At 41.8% G+C, this 15,699-nt stretch overlaps 1 protein-coding gene across 20 annotated transcripts in view; it reads left to right on the top strand.

The window, feature by feature from the left end:
* Positions 1 to 15,699, top strand: part of METTL6 (methyltransferase 6, tRNA N3-cytidine) — a 46,369-nt gene that overhangs the window by 5,091 nt on the left and 25,579 nt on the right. For 4 of the 20 annotated variants that reach the window (XM_017005718.3, NM_001301790.2, NM_152396.4 and 1 more), the window contains 3 exons: positions 6,611 to 6,781; positions 8,391 to 8,532; positions 11,116 to 12,793. In XM_017005718.3, the coding sequence (XP_016861207.1) occupies positions 6,611 to 6,781; positions 8,391 to 8,532; positions 11,116 to 11,297 (495 nt within the window). In that variant the 3' untranslated portion in view covers positions 11,298 to 12,793. Of the gene's footprint in view, positions 1 to 6,610; positions 6,782 to 6,895; positions 6,935 to 6,969; positions 7,056 to 7,638; positions 8,883 to 11,115; positions 12,794 to 15,699 lie in introns of those variants that run through there. The other 16 variants (XM_017005719.2, XM_005264867.5, XM_047447450.1 and 13 more) reach the window with 9 other exon arrangements.

The following is a 15,699-nucleotide window of genomic DNA, read 5'->3' as shown; positions in this document are numbered from 1 at the left end:
CCTGAGCTGAAATGATCCTCCTGCCTCTGCCTCTCAAGCAGCTGGGTCTACACGCACATACTACCACCCCTGGCTAATTTTTGTATTTTTTTGTAGAGACAGGGTTTCTCCATTTTGCCCAGCCTGGTCTTTCTGAACTCAAGTGATCTGCCTGCCTTGGCCTCCCAAAGTGCTGGGATTACAGGCATCAGCCACCGCATCCAGCCTATTTTTATTTTTTATTTTTTGAGATAGGGTCTCACTCTGTCACCCAGGATGGAGTGCAGTTGCACAGTCATGACTCACTGCAGCCTTGACTTCCCAGGCTCAAGTGATCCTCCCACCTCAGCCTCTTGAGTAGCTGGGGTTACAGATGCACACCACCACACCCAACTAATTGTTTTATTTTTTTGTAGAGACGGGTCTCACTACGTTGCCTAGGCTGTTCTCAAACTCCTGGGCTCAAGAGATCCTCCCATCTCTGCCTCCCAGAGTGCTGGGATTAACTCCCACCTCTGCCTCCCAAAGTGCTGGGATTAAAAGCGTGAGCCACCACACTCAGCCACATTAGACTTTTGAAAATAGTAACCTTACCAGCCTAGGCAACAAAGTATGACTCTGTCTCTACAAAAAAAAATTATTTTATTTTATTTTTTAATTTGAGATGGAGTTTCACTCTTATTGCCCAGGCTGGAGTGCAGTGGCACGATCTCGGCTCACTGCAACCTCCACCTCCCGGGTTCAAGCAATTCTCCTGCCTCAGCCTCCCAAGTAGCTGGGATTACAGGCACTTGCCACCACGCCTGGCTAATTTTTTTGTATTTTTAGTACAGACAGGGTTTCACTATGTTGGACAGGCTGGTCTTGAACTCCTGACCTCAGGTGATCCACTGGCCTCCCAAAGTGTTGGGATTACAGGCATAAGCCACCGCACCTGGCCAAAAAGATTTTTTTAATTAGCCAGGTGTGGTGGCGTGTGCAGCTGTTTGGGAGACTGAGGTGGGAAAATCACTTGAGCCCGGAGTTTGAGGCTGCATGAGCTATGATCATGCCATTGTACTCCAGCCTGGGTGACAAAGCAGGACCCTATCTCAAAATAACAAAACCCAAACCCTTTATTTTTAAAAAGTTAATATGTTTACTGTAGGAAACTGAGAAACACAAGAAGCAAAGAACAGTCATCCACAATCACAAGCAGTTTACAGTTTGACTTGTCCTTCTAGGTCCTGTGTGTACATAGACACAGTATCCAATTTTATGGGATTAAGATCACGCAGTATGTATCGTGTTTTATCACACATTATGGATATTTACTAATTATATTATTATATGTTGTCACATCAAGACATCTATGAAGCTTAGGTGTTGCAAAATAATAAACTCTGTCCACAATAAACACAAGTACTTTACTAAAAATGCACCTATAGACCTGTGGTTTTTCATCTAAAACCATCTTCTAGATATGGAGATTCTGACTAAGAGCCCTTCCTTCCACCCGTTCTTCTTTATCCTGTTCTGTCATTCCAGTGACTAAGTACAGGACTATGTCTAGTTCTAAGAGGTCAATTAACAAAGGTCACTCCCAGAGGATAGTCCTTCTTAAGAACTGAAAACGTGAATAAATGTTACACGTACATAATAAGCTGCCATTTGAAAGTGTCATCTAAATAGGAACGAACATTCTGGCATAGAACCCTTCCCACCTGTCAACTCAGTGGATAGATATAAGCATTTGTAGTGCTTAGAGGGGACTTTAACAATTTCACTTCCCTAAGTGTTTTTAAGAACAGTCTTTCCTATGAATTTGAACACAAAATGTACTCAGTGTATTAGGTTACTGACTCTACGTTGGTCATACGCTGTCAACCTCTTTAACATCTAGAACTAGATGTTGTAAATTAGGGCTCATTTGTCCTTCATATACACTATATACATAGCAAAGTAAAATAAAATGCATGGACATAAGGTACAGTGGTCAATCTTGCCTCACTGTAAACACATTGGTATAAAGCCCTTTGCACTTTATTCTCCTCCTTTTCTCCTGACGCAGTACAAATGTAATGATGTGTACTGCTTAGAGAAGTGGTTTGATCATTACATTTCCAAAAGGTAATATTTCAGTGAATTTTAACAAAAGGATATCTACAAAATGTGTTACTTACTACCCTACTTTTAACATACTTTGTGCACTTCTAAACATCTAGAAAGTCTCGATGTTTTAAATAAGGACTTAAGTCTGTCCACTTTATACACAGTAGATTTTTAAAAATAGTTGTGGTATCATATTTACCATAACATGCTTTCCTCATTCTACATTATTATATTTTGCAGAGTTTTTCATGTTAGTACATGTAGATTTTATTTACCTGTTATAATATTCCATGGAATGGATATAGCATACTTTAACAGTTACCTGGCTGGTGCAGTGGCTCACACCTGTAATCTGAGCACTTTGAGAGGCCGAGGTGGGCAGATCACGAGGTCAGGAGATCGAGACCATCCTGGTTAATATGGTGAAACCCCATCTCTACTAAAAATACAAAAATTAGCCGGGCATGGTGGCGGGCGCCTGTAGTCCCAGCTACTCGGGAGGCTGAGGCAGGAGAACGGCATGAACCTGGGAGGCGGAGCTTGCAGTGAGCTGAGATCATGCCACTGCACTCCAGCCTGGGTGATAGAGCGAGACTCTGTCTCAAAAAAAAAAAAAAAAAAGAAAAACAGTTACCCTATTTATATTTATTTGAATTGTTTCTATTTTTTTGCTCTTACAAATAGGGTTAATGTGATCAGCATCATATATATGTTCCCAAAATGTCTGTACACATTTGTCTGTGATGAATAATGGAAGAAGCAGAATTCCTTGGAAGAAGAGCATGCTCATTTATATTTTAATAGACAATGCCAAGTTTCCTTCCAAAAAGCTCATACTAATTTATAATTTCACCAATAATGTAAAGGTACCTTTTTCTGTATTGCCTCAACTCTTGATATCAGTCTTTTTTATATTTACCAATCTTTTGGACAAAAAATAATGCCTCCATATTTTAATTTGTTTTTTCCTTATTACCAGAGAGGTTGAAGGCCTTGTGGAAGGTTGATAGCAATAGTTAGCTGTGAGTTTATTTAGTCCACATTTGTTTATTGAGAGCTTAATGTGTGCCAGTCACTGTTCTAAGCACTGGAGTTAAACAGTGAACAGACAGGCAAAAATTCCCACCCACATGAAGTTTGTAGTAGGAGTTGTCCATTCATAACCTCTGCCCATTTTTCTATTGGTTTGTCATTTTCTTTCTTATTTTCAGGATATATTCTAGATATTTTGGTATGTATGTTGCAAACATTTCTTCTAGTTTATTCAGCATCGCTTTACAGTATCTCTTTTTTTTTTACACAAGGATTTATTTTATTTTATTTTTGGACAAGGTCTCACTGTGTCACCTAGGCTGGAGTATAGTGGTGCAAATTGCAGCTCACTGCAGCCTCGACCTTGTGGACTCAAGTGATCCTCAGCATCCTGAGCTGGGACCATGGGCATGCACCACCATGCCTGGCTAATTTTTAAAAATTTTTTGTAGAGATGAGGTCCTGCTGTGTTGCCCAGGCTACACAGGATTTAAATTATCATGGCAAAATATTAATCTTTTCCTTTTGAAGTTCTATTTTATGTCTTGTTTAGGAGTCCTTTACTCCTAGGATTTACTTTATTTTTCTTAGAGATCAGGTCTCACTATCCCAGGCTGCTCTCGAACTCTTGGGTTCAAGCGATCCTCCTGTCTCAGCCTCCCAAAGTGCTGGGATTACAGGTGTGAGCCACTGCGCCCAGCTATTCCTAGGATTTAGACATAATCACCTATATATTGCTCTTACTAATTTTTGGTTATATAGTTATTTTATAATTTTGGTTATGTTTTTTAATCTGGAAAAATTAGGGTCATTATTTCTTTGAATTCTTTCTTTAGCTCTTGTTCTCTCTTCTCCCTCTGGGATTCCAGTTATGTGTGTAACATTTTCTATTGCCCCACAGCCCTTAGATGCTGTTGTTATAGGGTTTATTCCCCCACTTTTTTCCTTTTTGCATTTTCAGTTTGTGTAATTTCTATTATCCTATCATCAAGTTCACTGACTGTTTCCTAGGCAGTACCTGTTTTGTTGAGAAACCTATTGAAAGTGTTCATTTCTTTTACCATATTTTTGGTTTTTAGCATTTCTCTTAGAGTCTTTTTATAGTTTCCATCCCTGAAATTATGTATCTGATTTTGCATGTTGTCTGTCTTTTCCATTAGAGTCTTTAGCATTTTAATCATAATTATTTTAAATGCCCAAGCTTTTGGATCCAGCATCTGTCATATTTGAGTCTGGCTCTGGTGATGGCTTATTCTCTTCACACTATGTTTTTTGCCTTCTGGGATGTTTTCTACTTTTTGGTTAAAGCTAGACATATTATAAGGGCCAGTAGATACTGAGGGATAGGGATTTGTAACAATCTAGTCAGGAATTGGGCTGTTGTTTGAAGTCTGTTGTTGCTGTCTGTGAGGTTTGTTGTTGCTGTGGGCACCAGAGACTTCAAACCCCTCTAGCAACTTGTTTTTGTCTCCTCTCTTGGATTTGGGTCTTCCCTTTGTACCGTTTCCCAAAGAGTCTATCTGTTGTGGCTCTCCCAGCTGCAATTTCCTGTTATTCTTGGAGATTCGATGGTGGGGTGTGGGAGAGGGGGTCGTTCTCTAATGTTCTGCTTCTCCAAATTTGAACTGGTACCGTGGGCCTGTGTCTCAAGGGTAGTCATTTGTCTCAAGGGTAGCCAGTTCTTCTAAACACAGTAAATTGAATGAGAAATTTTTTCCTCACTCATAATTGTCATCTTTATTATCTACCTTTTTGTCTAATTGTCACCTTTGTCTATCTTTTATCATATAATATACAAAATTCCTGTTTATATATACAGTATATACAGGTCTGTTTTGGGACTCTGTTTTGTCTCAGTGATACATTTGTCTCCATTCTCAAACCATGTTGTTTTATTACTACGTTTTGTAATATATTTTGATATCCAGTAGTGTATCTTCTCCTTTATTATTCTTCATTCTATTTTATTTATTTATTTATTTATTTATTTATTTATTTTTGAGACAGAGTCTCTATCATGCAGGCTGGCGTGCAGTGGCATGATCTCGGCTCACTACAACCTCCGCCTCCCAGGTTCAAGCGATTCTTCTGCCTCAGTCTTCCCAGTAACTGGGACTACAGGTGCGGGTCACCACGCCCAGCTAATTTTTGTATTTTTAGTAGAGATGGGGTTTCACCATATTGGCCAGGCTGGTCTCAAACTCCTGACCTCATGATCCACCTGCCTTGGCCTCCCAAAGTGCTGGGATTACAGGCGTGAGCCACCGCACCTGGCCTATTTTTTTAAAGATGAGATCTTGCTCTGTTTTCCAGGCTAGCTTGCAGTGGCATGGATCATAGCTCACTGCAGCTTTGAACTCAAGCGATCCTTTCACTTCAGTCTCCCAGGTTGCTGGGATTACAGGCATGAGCCACCATACCTACCTCATTGTTCATCATTTTAAAAATTGACTTGGCTATTCTTAAAGATTTTTACTTTATGATGAATTAGATTCACCCTGTCTAGTTTCTAGAAATCTGTTGGGAATCAGTTTAGATTGCATTGGATTTACAAATGGAATTATGAATAGAATTGACATCTTTTTAATTTTGCATTTAATTTTCCCATCCAGTAACTTTGTATATCTATTTATTCAGGTCCTCATTTACATGAAATAGAAGTTTAATGTTTTTCTTCATAATACTCCTATACATGTGTTGAAGCCTACCAACCAAAATGTACCAGGAACACATTTGTAGTCAAAAAAAGGTTAAGTTTATTTAGCTTGCTGCATAAAGAGAAAATATACCCCAGAAGAACTGCGGGAGCATCTCATCAAGGGGAATTAGAAGGGCTTCTCATAGGGTTTAGGCTTTAAGCAGATGATTCAAAGGAGGATTAAGGAAGCCAGAGGCCAGCAGGACATAGTGGCTCATGCCTGTAATCCCAGCACTTTGGAAGGCTGAAGTGGGAGGATCACTTGAGGCCAGGAGTTCAAGACTAGCCTGTACAACATAGCAAGATCCCATCTTTACAAAAATAAAAATAAAAATTTAGCCAGATGCAGTGGTGCACACCTGTAGTTCCAGCTACTTAGGAGGCTGAAGTGGGAGGATAACTTGGGCTCAGGAGGTGAAGGCTGCAGTGAACCATGATCATGCCACTGCACTCTAGCCCAGCAGACAGAGTGAGACCCTGTCTCTTTAAAAAACAAAAAGAAGCAGAGGCCAGTTTTGGATCATCATCCCTCTGGAAATAATATGCTTCTAAAATGCTCAGTTTTGAGTACGTGATACTCTTATTGTCTCCTCAGTTAAAAATGATTTATTAAAATGAAGTCTTGCTCCTGTAGCAGTAGTGAATATTACATGCTTTATAGTGAGTGATTTATTAATCAGTTTTATCTGGTAACAGTGATAATTTCTATGTATACAAGTGGAAATTGGATCGCCTTTTGATGTTGTATTTTTCTATATGTATCAGCCTAGTGGTTGCATTAAAATTCATTTGTATTTCTTCCCCCTGTAGCAAAATCCTTTATATGATACAGAAAGATGCAAGGTATTCCAGTGTGATCTGACTAAAGATGATCTTCTGGATCATGTACCGCCAGAGTCTGTGGATGTTGTTATGTTGATATTTGTGCTGTCAGCTGTTCATCCTGATAAGATGCACCTTGTCTTACAAAACATTTACAAGGTTAGTGATTTGGGGCCTGCACTTGAGGGTTGGACAGTCTGGATTCTTTTACTTACCTTCCCTCATGAGGCTCATGTACTGTCTAGATTCACATAGTCTCTCCATTCTCACTAGGTAGGCTGTGTAGTGAGTGTATAGAAAGGGGTCCTCTGGCATAAAACATCCACCCTAAATTCTGATTTGTGCAGTGCCATGGCTGCTCTTCAGAGCTTCGCCAGCCCTGGGACAAGGATGATTTTGCAGTTACCTGGGATCCATGGAGTCCTGCTATAAGGTGAGAGGAGTTATGGTTTAGTGGTCAAGAGTACACAGTTTGGCCAGGTGTGGTGTTTCATGCCTGTAATCCCAACACTTTGGGATGCCAAGGCAGGTGAATCACTTGAGGTCAGGAGTTTGAAACCAGCCTGGCCAACATAGCAAGACCTTGTCTAAAAAAAGCTAATGTATGATCATTGGCAGATCACTTAACCCTGTTGAGTATTGGTTTCCGTGTCTCATGTGAGAATAATAATCACATTCCTTTGTCCCACAGTTGGGTGAAGATACAATGAGAAAATGTATGGTTAAGCAGTCAAATGCTAGGCATGTATCAGTCATTAGCACCGTGATTGAGCTATACATTGTGGCACAATGAAATGAGAGCTGAGGCTCAGAATGAGGAAAACCAACCTGAATCAGTAAAGAGCCAAAACGACATTCTGGTTTTTTGTTTGTTTGTTTGTTTGTTTTTTTAAGAGACAGTTGAATACAGTTTGAGTACTAGGAGATGGTGAATAAAATGTTGCAAGAAAGTGCTTCAATGAGGATAACACTTTCATTTATTGTCTCTAACACTTATTTATTTATTTTTGAGACAGGGTCTTGCTGTGTCACTCAGGCTGGAGTGCAGTGGCATGGACGTGGCTCACTGCAGCCTCAACTTCCTGGGCTCAAGCAGTTCTCCCACCTCAGCCTCTGAAGTAGTTGGGACTACAGGACGCACTACCAGATCCAGCTAATTTTTAATTTTTGTGTAGAGATGGGGTCTCACTATATTGCCCAGGTTGGTCTCTAACATTTTAATCCTGTGACACTGGACATTCCAGGGTGCTCTTGGAGGTACTCAAGAATTGTCTTCAGGGACGAGCGAGGTGGCTCACGCCTGTAATCCCAACTTTGGGAGACTGAGGTGGGCAAATTACTTGAGGTCAGGAGTTCGAGACTAGCCTGGCCAACATGGTGAAACCTCATCTCTACTAAAATACAAAAATTAGCCGGGCATGGTGGCGGGCACCTATAATCCCAGCTACTCGGGAGGCTGAGACACGAGAATCACTTGAACGTGGGAGACGGAGGTTGCAGTGAGCTGAGATTATGCCACTGCACTCCAGCCTGGGCGACAGAGCAAGACTCCATCTCAAAAAAAAAAAAAAAAGAAGTGTCTTAGTGTTATGGAGCCCTGCCTGGTCTTACTATCTTTTTAAGTAGTAGGCCATTTTGGTTCCGTATTATGGGCATTTCAGTCTGTCCCCTTAGTAACTATCACAAATTTATTTTAAGTCCTAACTTAATCAGGTTTTATTTTGACAGGGTTCTCCAAAGTCATGTTCAGCCTGCTTTTGTTTCATAGGTATTAAAACCAGGCAAAAGTGTCTTGTTTCGTGACTACGGACTGTATGATCATGCCATGCTTAGGTTTAAAGCCAGCAGCAAACTTGGAGAAAACTTTTATGTTAGACAAGATGGGACCAGATCATATTTTTTTACTGATGGTAAGATGAATGGAATCCAGTCTTTAAATGTTTTATTCTTTGTTTCTGTTTATTTGATTGCATTATCACTGCAAGGCTGCTTGGAGAAGGCTTGCGACATGTGCACGAGACCCTGAAACAAGCCCTCTACTGCACAATATTTACCCAGCACCTGGAAGGCACAGACCTGGCCCCTGCCCTTGAAGAGCTCACAAGCCTTCTCTGGTGTCAGTGACTCCCCTAATGAGCTTGGGTTAATGGACAGCCTCTGACATGCCATGTGGATTCCCTACTAGGAATTGTGCTGGAATAAGAGGGAGGGCAAGTCAGAAACTTCTTGTCCAGTTAAAAATAAAGCAAATTTGACAGTATAATGCCTTGAGATTACTTTCCCATGGCACAAAGTCAGGAAACCTTTTTCTGTAGAATTGATTGGATCTGTTTTGGGGTTTGGTTTTTTTGTTGTTTTTGAGACAGAGTCTAATTCTGTCACCCAGGCTGGAGTGCAGTGGTGTGATCTTGGCTCACTGCAGCCTCCACCTTCCAGACTCAAGTGATCCACCGAAGCCTCCTGAGTAGCTGGGACCACAGACACATGCCACCATGGCTGGCTAATTTCTTGTATTTTTGGTAGAATGGGGGTTTCACCATATTGCCCATGCTGGTCTCGAACTTCTGAGCTCAAGTGATCCATCTGTCTCAGCCTCCAAAAGTGGTGGGATTACAGGTGTTAGTCACCATGCCTGTCCTGGATCTGTTTTTAAATAAATATGCAAATTTGCTGTAAAGAGGCATTTATTTATTTTTGAGACAGAGTCTTACAGGCTGGAGTGCAGTGGCATGATCTTGGCTCACTGCAACCCCCACCACCCAGGCTCAAGTGATTCTCATGCCTCAGCCTCCCAAGTAGCAAGGATTACAAGTGTGTGCCACCACACCCAACTAATTTTTGTATTTTTAGTAGAGATGCGGTTTTGCCATGTTGGCCAGGCTGGTCTCAATCTCCTGGTCTCAAGTGATCTGCCCACTTCAGCCTCCCAAAATTCTGGGACTGCAGGTATGAGCCACCATGCCCAGCCTAAAGAGGTATTTAAAAAGTCATTTTTGATAAGAAAATGTGGAACATTATTTTGGTCTTTTAGGTGTCTTGAACATAGTCTACCTAATCATCTAGACAGGAAGATAATTAACCTCTATTTTAACAAACATTTTTCTTCTTGAAATGAAATATTCTTTTAGATACCAAAATGAATTAAAATTGAGTGATTACTATTAAAGCTGCAAAATTATTTGGGAGACTGAGATAGAAGGATCACTTGAGCTCAGGAGTTCGAGACCAGCCTGGGCAACCGTGAAACTTTGTCTCTACTAAAAATAAAAAAAAAAAAATATTAGCCAGGAGTGGTGGCATGCACTTGTGGTCCTGCTGCTTAGGAGGCTGAGGCAAGAGGATCATTTGGCCCCAGAAGATGGAGGCTGCAGTGAGCTATGATCATACCACTGCCCTCCAGCCTGGGCGACAGGGCGAGAAGCCTATCTCAAAAAAACAAAACAAAACAAAACAAAATGCAAAATTATCAAAATAGGTTAAAATTCAAAAGATGTTTTAATTCATAAAATTTAAACCAATTGTAAATATTGAGAAGATTCAGTGATATCTGCAGAGTGCTTCAGAGCACGTTCTCTGGAGCAATGCTCTTAGTACGAGTCTTTATTTTTGCTGCCTCACCATTTATTCTGTTTGTTTCATTTAATGTGTAGTGATGTATTATTTGGGTTAGATTTTCCTGGAGCTAGGTCACCACTGGGTGTTTTTCTCCACTCTGATCACAAATTTTCCTCCTTCGTGTTAGGATGAATAAGATGTTTGATGTAAACAAATTGAGCACATGCAGACCTTGTAGGAGTATAGCCAATTTTTATGTTTTTGTTCGGAGATGGGAAACAATAAGATAATTTTTAAAAAGGAATATAATCGGCCGGGCCCAGTGGCTCATGCGTGTTATCTCAGCACTTTGGGAGGCCAAGATTGGGGGATCATTTGAGGTCAGGGGTTTGAGACCAGCCTGGCCAACATGGCGAAACCCTGTCTCTACTAAAAATACAAAAAAATTAACCAGGCATGGTAGTGTGTGCCTGTAGTCCCAGCTACTTAAGAGGCTGAGGCAGGAGAATCACTTAAGCCCAGGAATCGGAGGTTGCAGTGAGCCGAGATCGTGCTCCTGATCTAGCCTGGGTGACAGAGTGACATTGTGTCTCAAAAAAAAATTTTTTTTTAATTAAAAAAAAAAAGGAATATAACCAATTTGGAATTGTTTCTTTTTACTCGGGCTTTTGTATTTGAGAATTCATAATAAGGCAAGATGCGAACACCAGGTTGTCCTTCACCTTGTTCTGATTTAATTGTTTAATTGGAGGTTTCTGTTTGGGTAGAAGAGGAGAAGGAGTGTATTAGTTCCCAAATCAAAACCTTTAAATTTTAGCATTGAGGTTTTCATTTAAAAAAATATTAAAATAGCCTCAGCCCTCTATCCCTCCTCAAGGACTGCAAAGCAAATGTAATGTTATGAAGACTGTTGAGCATTGTTGATGCTTGTCTTACAGACTTCCTGGCTCAGCTCTTTATGGACACAGGTTATGAAGAAGTGGTAAACGAGTATGTGTTTCGAGAGACGGTGAATAAAAAAGAAGGCCTGTGTGTGCCAAGAGTTTTCCTTCAGAGCAAATTTCTAAAGCCTCCTAAGAACCCATCTCCTGTGGTCCTGGGCCTGGATCCTAAGTCCTGACCTTTCATGAGGTTGGCATTTATACCTTCCCTTGAAGAGGAAAATTTAAAATCACTCTTTCGTCTGGGTGCGGTGGCTCATGCCTGTAATCCCAGCACTTCGGGAGGCCGAGGTTGGGGGATCATCTGAGGTCAGGAGTTTGAGACCAGCCTGGCCAACATGGTGAGACCCCATCTCTACTAAAAATACAAAAAAATTAGCTGGGCATAGTGGCGAGTGCCTGTAATCCCAGCTACTCAGGAGGCTGAGGCAAGAGAATCGCTTGAACCCAAGAGGCGGAGACTGCAGTGAGCCAAGATCATGCCATTGCACTCCAGCCTGGGCGACAGAGTGAGACCCTGTTTCATAAATAAATAAAATCACTCTTTTTACTTTATATATTTTTTGAGACAGGATCTTGTGGTACGCAGGCTGGAGTGCAGTGGTGTGTGATCACAGCTCATTGTAGCCTCGACCTCCCCTGGGCTCAAGCAGTCTTCCTGCCTCAGCCTCCTGAGTAGCTAGGACTACAGGTGTAAGCCACCATGCCTGGCCCTTAATTTTTTTTAATGAGCATGTACAGTAGTCCCGCTTTATCCATGGTTTCACTTACCACAATTTCAATTACCTGTTTTCAACTGCAGTCAGTTACTTTTCTTAAGATATTTTGAGGGTTATAGGCTCATGCCTATAACCCCAGCACTTTGAGAGGCCAAGGCCAGCAGATCCCTTGAGCCCAGGAGTTCAAGACCAGTGTGGGCAACATGGTGAAACTCTGTCTCTACAGAAAATACAAAAATTAGCCAAATGTGGTGGCATGTGCCTGTAGTCCCAGCTGGGGTGGGAGGTTAGCTTGAGCCTGGAAGGTGGAGGTTGCAGTAAGTCGAGATCACGCTACTGCACTCCAGCCTGGGCGACAGAGCAAAAGTCTGTCTCAAAAAAAACAAAAAAAATTTGAAAGATCACATTCACATAACTTTTATTACGGTATATTGTTAAAGTTGTTCTTTTTTTTTTAGAGTTTGGTACCATCTTGGTTTCAGGCAACCACTGGGGGTCTTGAAACATACCACCCGCAGATACGGGGGGCTACTATGTACTTTTTGTATTAAAAAATAGGAAGTGTATGTGTGTGTGTTAGAGACATGTAAATAAAATTTCAAGGCCTGAAAAGTAGTCAAAGTTTTATAGAATAACATAATTTAGCCATATTGTTCACTGTAAAATTCCACAAAGAAAAGCCTAAGGACCCTGTAGCACGTAAAGAGATTCTTGTCATTACTCATGTGACTGTAAGTGTTCCCCCAGGCAACATGTCAGACAACCATGGGGAAAAATGAGGCCAAGTAGACTAAAATAAGACACTCATATATATTTCTAGCCTAAAGGAGTGTTCTGTTTTCTTCTTTTTCGAGTGTCATATTTGCCCATTGGTCTCCCCTTTAGTTCAGTTATGTATTTCTTCAAAACCAGTGTTCCACAAATACCACTTTTGCTCTGTCTGTGCTCAAGAACCCTCCATGGCTCCATATCTGATTGTTGAGACCCCTTATCACTGGGCCAGTTCCTTGCCACATTGTTTGCCCTGGGGGGGAGAGAGGGAATGGCCATCACCTGTCCTCCCCTCTGCCCCATTTGTCCAGTGCTGTTTCTCGGAGAAGATGACTGGTGTCTAGTTTAGAGTTAGAATTTCAGAGTTGAGAGGGGCTTTAGAATGGACATTCCAACTCCCTATTGGGAAATGAGGAAGCAGTAGCAAGGGGTAAATGATGAGTCCAAAATCACGTAGCTAGTGTTGCAGAATATGGGGAAATCCCTAAATTGGTCTGCTGACCTCTTTCCCAATCATTGCCTTTTAATGACTTTTCCTTTATGAAGTAAAATCCAGGTTATTTTGTTCTGCTCACGAGTTGAGCCTGTAAGCCTTTCTGTTTGCCTTTCTGCAGAAAGCTGTTTGTGAGAACCCTGTCTTGAGTACATGACTGGACTGCACATGCAGCAGGCCTGGGCCCTTCAACTCCAACTACATCTGGAGGAGGGGTCCCAGTGTGAAGGGGTTGGATAATAGTCATAGTGGTTCTGTACAATCAGAATAAATCCTGGCTCCTGAAGAGAAGAGGGGCAGGCAGCAGGGCTCACACTGTGCGTGCTGGGTGTTGTGATTCTGCCATCTGTCCTCAACTTCTTGGGAGGGGCTGATGGAACTTGTAGAGATGGTGGACCTTTAGGGGGCTTCATGGGCCTTCTCACAGTGAGAATCCAGCCCTGTCCAGAAGCAGCCTCAAGCTCCGCACTTTCAGTCCAGTGCTGTCTCCCAAAGCCCCCTCCGCCAAATGAATCCCACAGCCAGCTTCAGCCTCAGATGCTGCCCACTGCCCCCTCCGTAGAAGTCCTTTCACCTGTGTCTCTACTAGGTCTGACCAATGTTTCTTGGATTTTATTGGCTAAGCTGGATAAAGACAGGCCATTTAAAGTAGGAAAGTGGGATCCTGGGTGATGTAGCAAGACCCCATCTCTATGAAAAAAATAAGAAAATTAGCCAGGTATGGTGGTATATGCCTGTAGTCCCACCTACTTGGGAGACTGAGGTTGAAGGATCCCATGAGCCCAGGAGTTGGAGGCTGTAGCGATGGAGTGAGCCATTATCACACCACTGCACTACAGCATGGGTGCAGAGCGAGACCCCGTGTCCAATTGAAAAAAAAAAAAAAAAAGAGCAAGGAGCAGTGTAGTGTAGTAGGATAAGCCTGTGCTTTTGTTATCAGAAGTCATTTGGAATTTTGGCCTCATTCCTTAACCTGTTTGAACCTCACATTCCTCGTTTTTATAATGGGGATAACTACTAACTTAAAAGTGTTCAGAGGATTAAAGGAAGTACATATATATGGCACGTGAGTATCATTTCCCTCAGTCCTCATTTTTTGAACATAGAAGCTTAACATACATACAGAAAAGTGCACAAATCATAAGTATTTAGCTCACTGACATCACAGAGTGAACATACCTGTATGACGCGTCCAGCATGACTGGCACCCCAGAACCCACGCCACCCCTGTGTCTCGTTCCAGTCACTGTCCCCACAAGGATATCCTCTATTCTGAAGTCTAACACCAGAGAGTAGTTTTTCTTCTATTTTTAAAATTCTCCCCAAAAAAGTTTAAGGACAACTTACAAAAATACAAAAATTACACGATTTTAAGTAGGGAAATTGGGCTAAAGGAAAATAAAAGTTGAGGCCAGGAAAATAATCTTATCCACACAAACTGCATTACAGCAGGTCTTATACACTTAAGGATAAATAACAGATTTTGCTTCCTAGTTGTCAGTGTAAAGAAGGAAACAAGATCAAGTTCAGACTCCATGCGATAAACCTGAGGCAGCTACCCCTAATCTGGAGATCTAAGGAACCTTTCCCTCTAGTTCCCATAAAGAGAACACTACAACATGGCAAACTTAACAGTTTTACCAATAATAAACACAAGTATCAAAGCATTGTTTCTGATAATATAGCTTAACATAGATATAACCCCCAAAGGACTAGTCAAATAAGTGGATGAAGAGGACTGAAAGGGGCTGGTCTAGATGGGTTTAGAATCCCTAGAAGACTAACGGGCTGTTGGTCCTTCGGTCAGTTTTCCATCAATAGTGTTCTCAGTGGAGGGTTTGATGTGAATCTAGGAACCAGGAGGTCTAGGTTATTGTCCCTTAGAAGGGTAGCTATTGGGCAGACCATCCGGCCAAGAGACAAGTAAGAATGACTTCAGAGAAAGCAAAACAGGTTGATGAAGTCGTCTTCCTTTGCCAGTGGTTGGCTGGGCATATACCTGTGAATGGGGCCAACAGTTTCCTCCAAACACAACCTGGAGTTGTCTCTACCCACAGGAGTAATTATGCCCCAAATTCTAACCCCCATAAAGCCAGGCTGCAAAAGTTTTCATTTAGAATATTTAAAGGTGAAGCTGGGCATGGTGGCTCATGCTTGTAATCCCAGCACTTTGGGAGGCTGGGGTGGGCAGATCACATGAGGCCAAAAGTTGGAGACCAGCCTGGCCAACATGTTAAAACCCTGTCTCTGCTAAAAATACAAAAATTAGCTGGGCGTGGTGGTGCATGTCTGTAGTCCACTGTAGTCCCAGCTAATTGAGAGGCCGAGGCTCACTTGAACCCGGGAGGTGGAGGTTGCAGTGAGCCCAGGTTGTGCCACTGCACTCCAGCTTGGGTGACAGAGTAAGAGTCTGTCTCAAAAAATAAACAATAAAAACAATATTTAAAGCTGGTTTAATGACATGCCGACCTCTGACACTGAGCAAGTGGCCTCTCATATATTTAAGATACATTAAGATTAACTGCTGGTCGTGGTGGCTCATGCCTGTAATCCCAGCATTTTGGGAGGTTGAGGCAGGTGGATCATCTGAAGTCAGGA

This window comes from Homo sapiens, chromosome 3 (genome assembly GCF_000001405.40).
Source record: "Homo sapiens chromosome 3, GRCh38.p14 Primary Assembly".
In the NCBI taxonomy this organism is placed as follows: Eukaryota; Metazoa; Chordata; class Mammalia; order Primates; family Hominidae; genus Homo; species Homo sapiens.
This window is presented reverse-complemented; position numbering and strand designations above follow the sequence as displayed.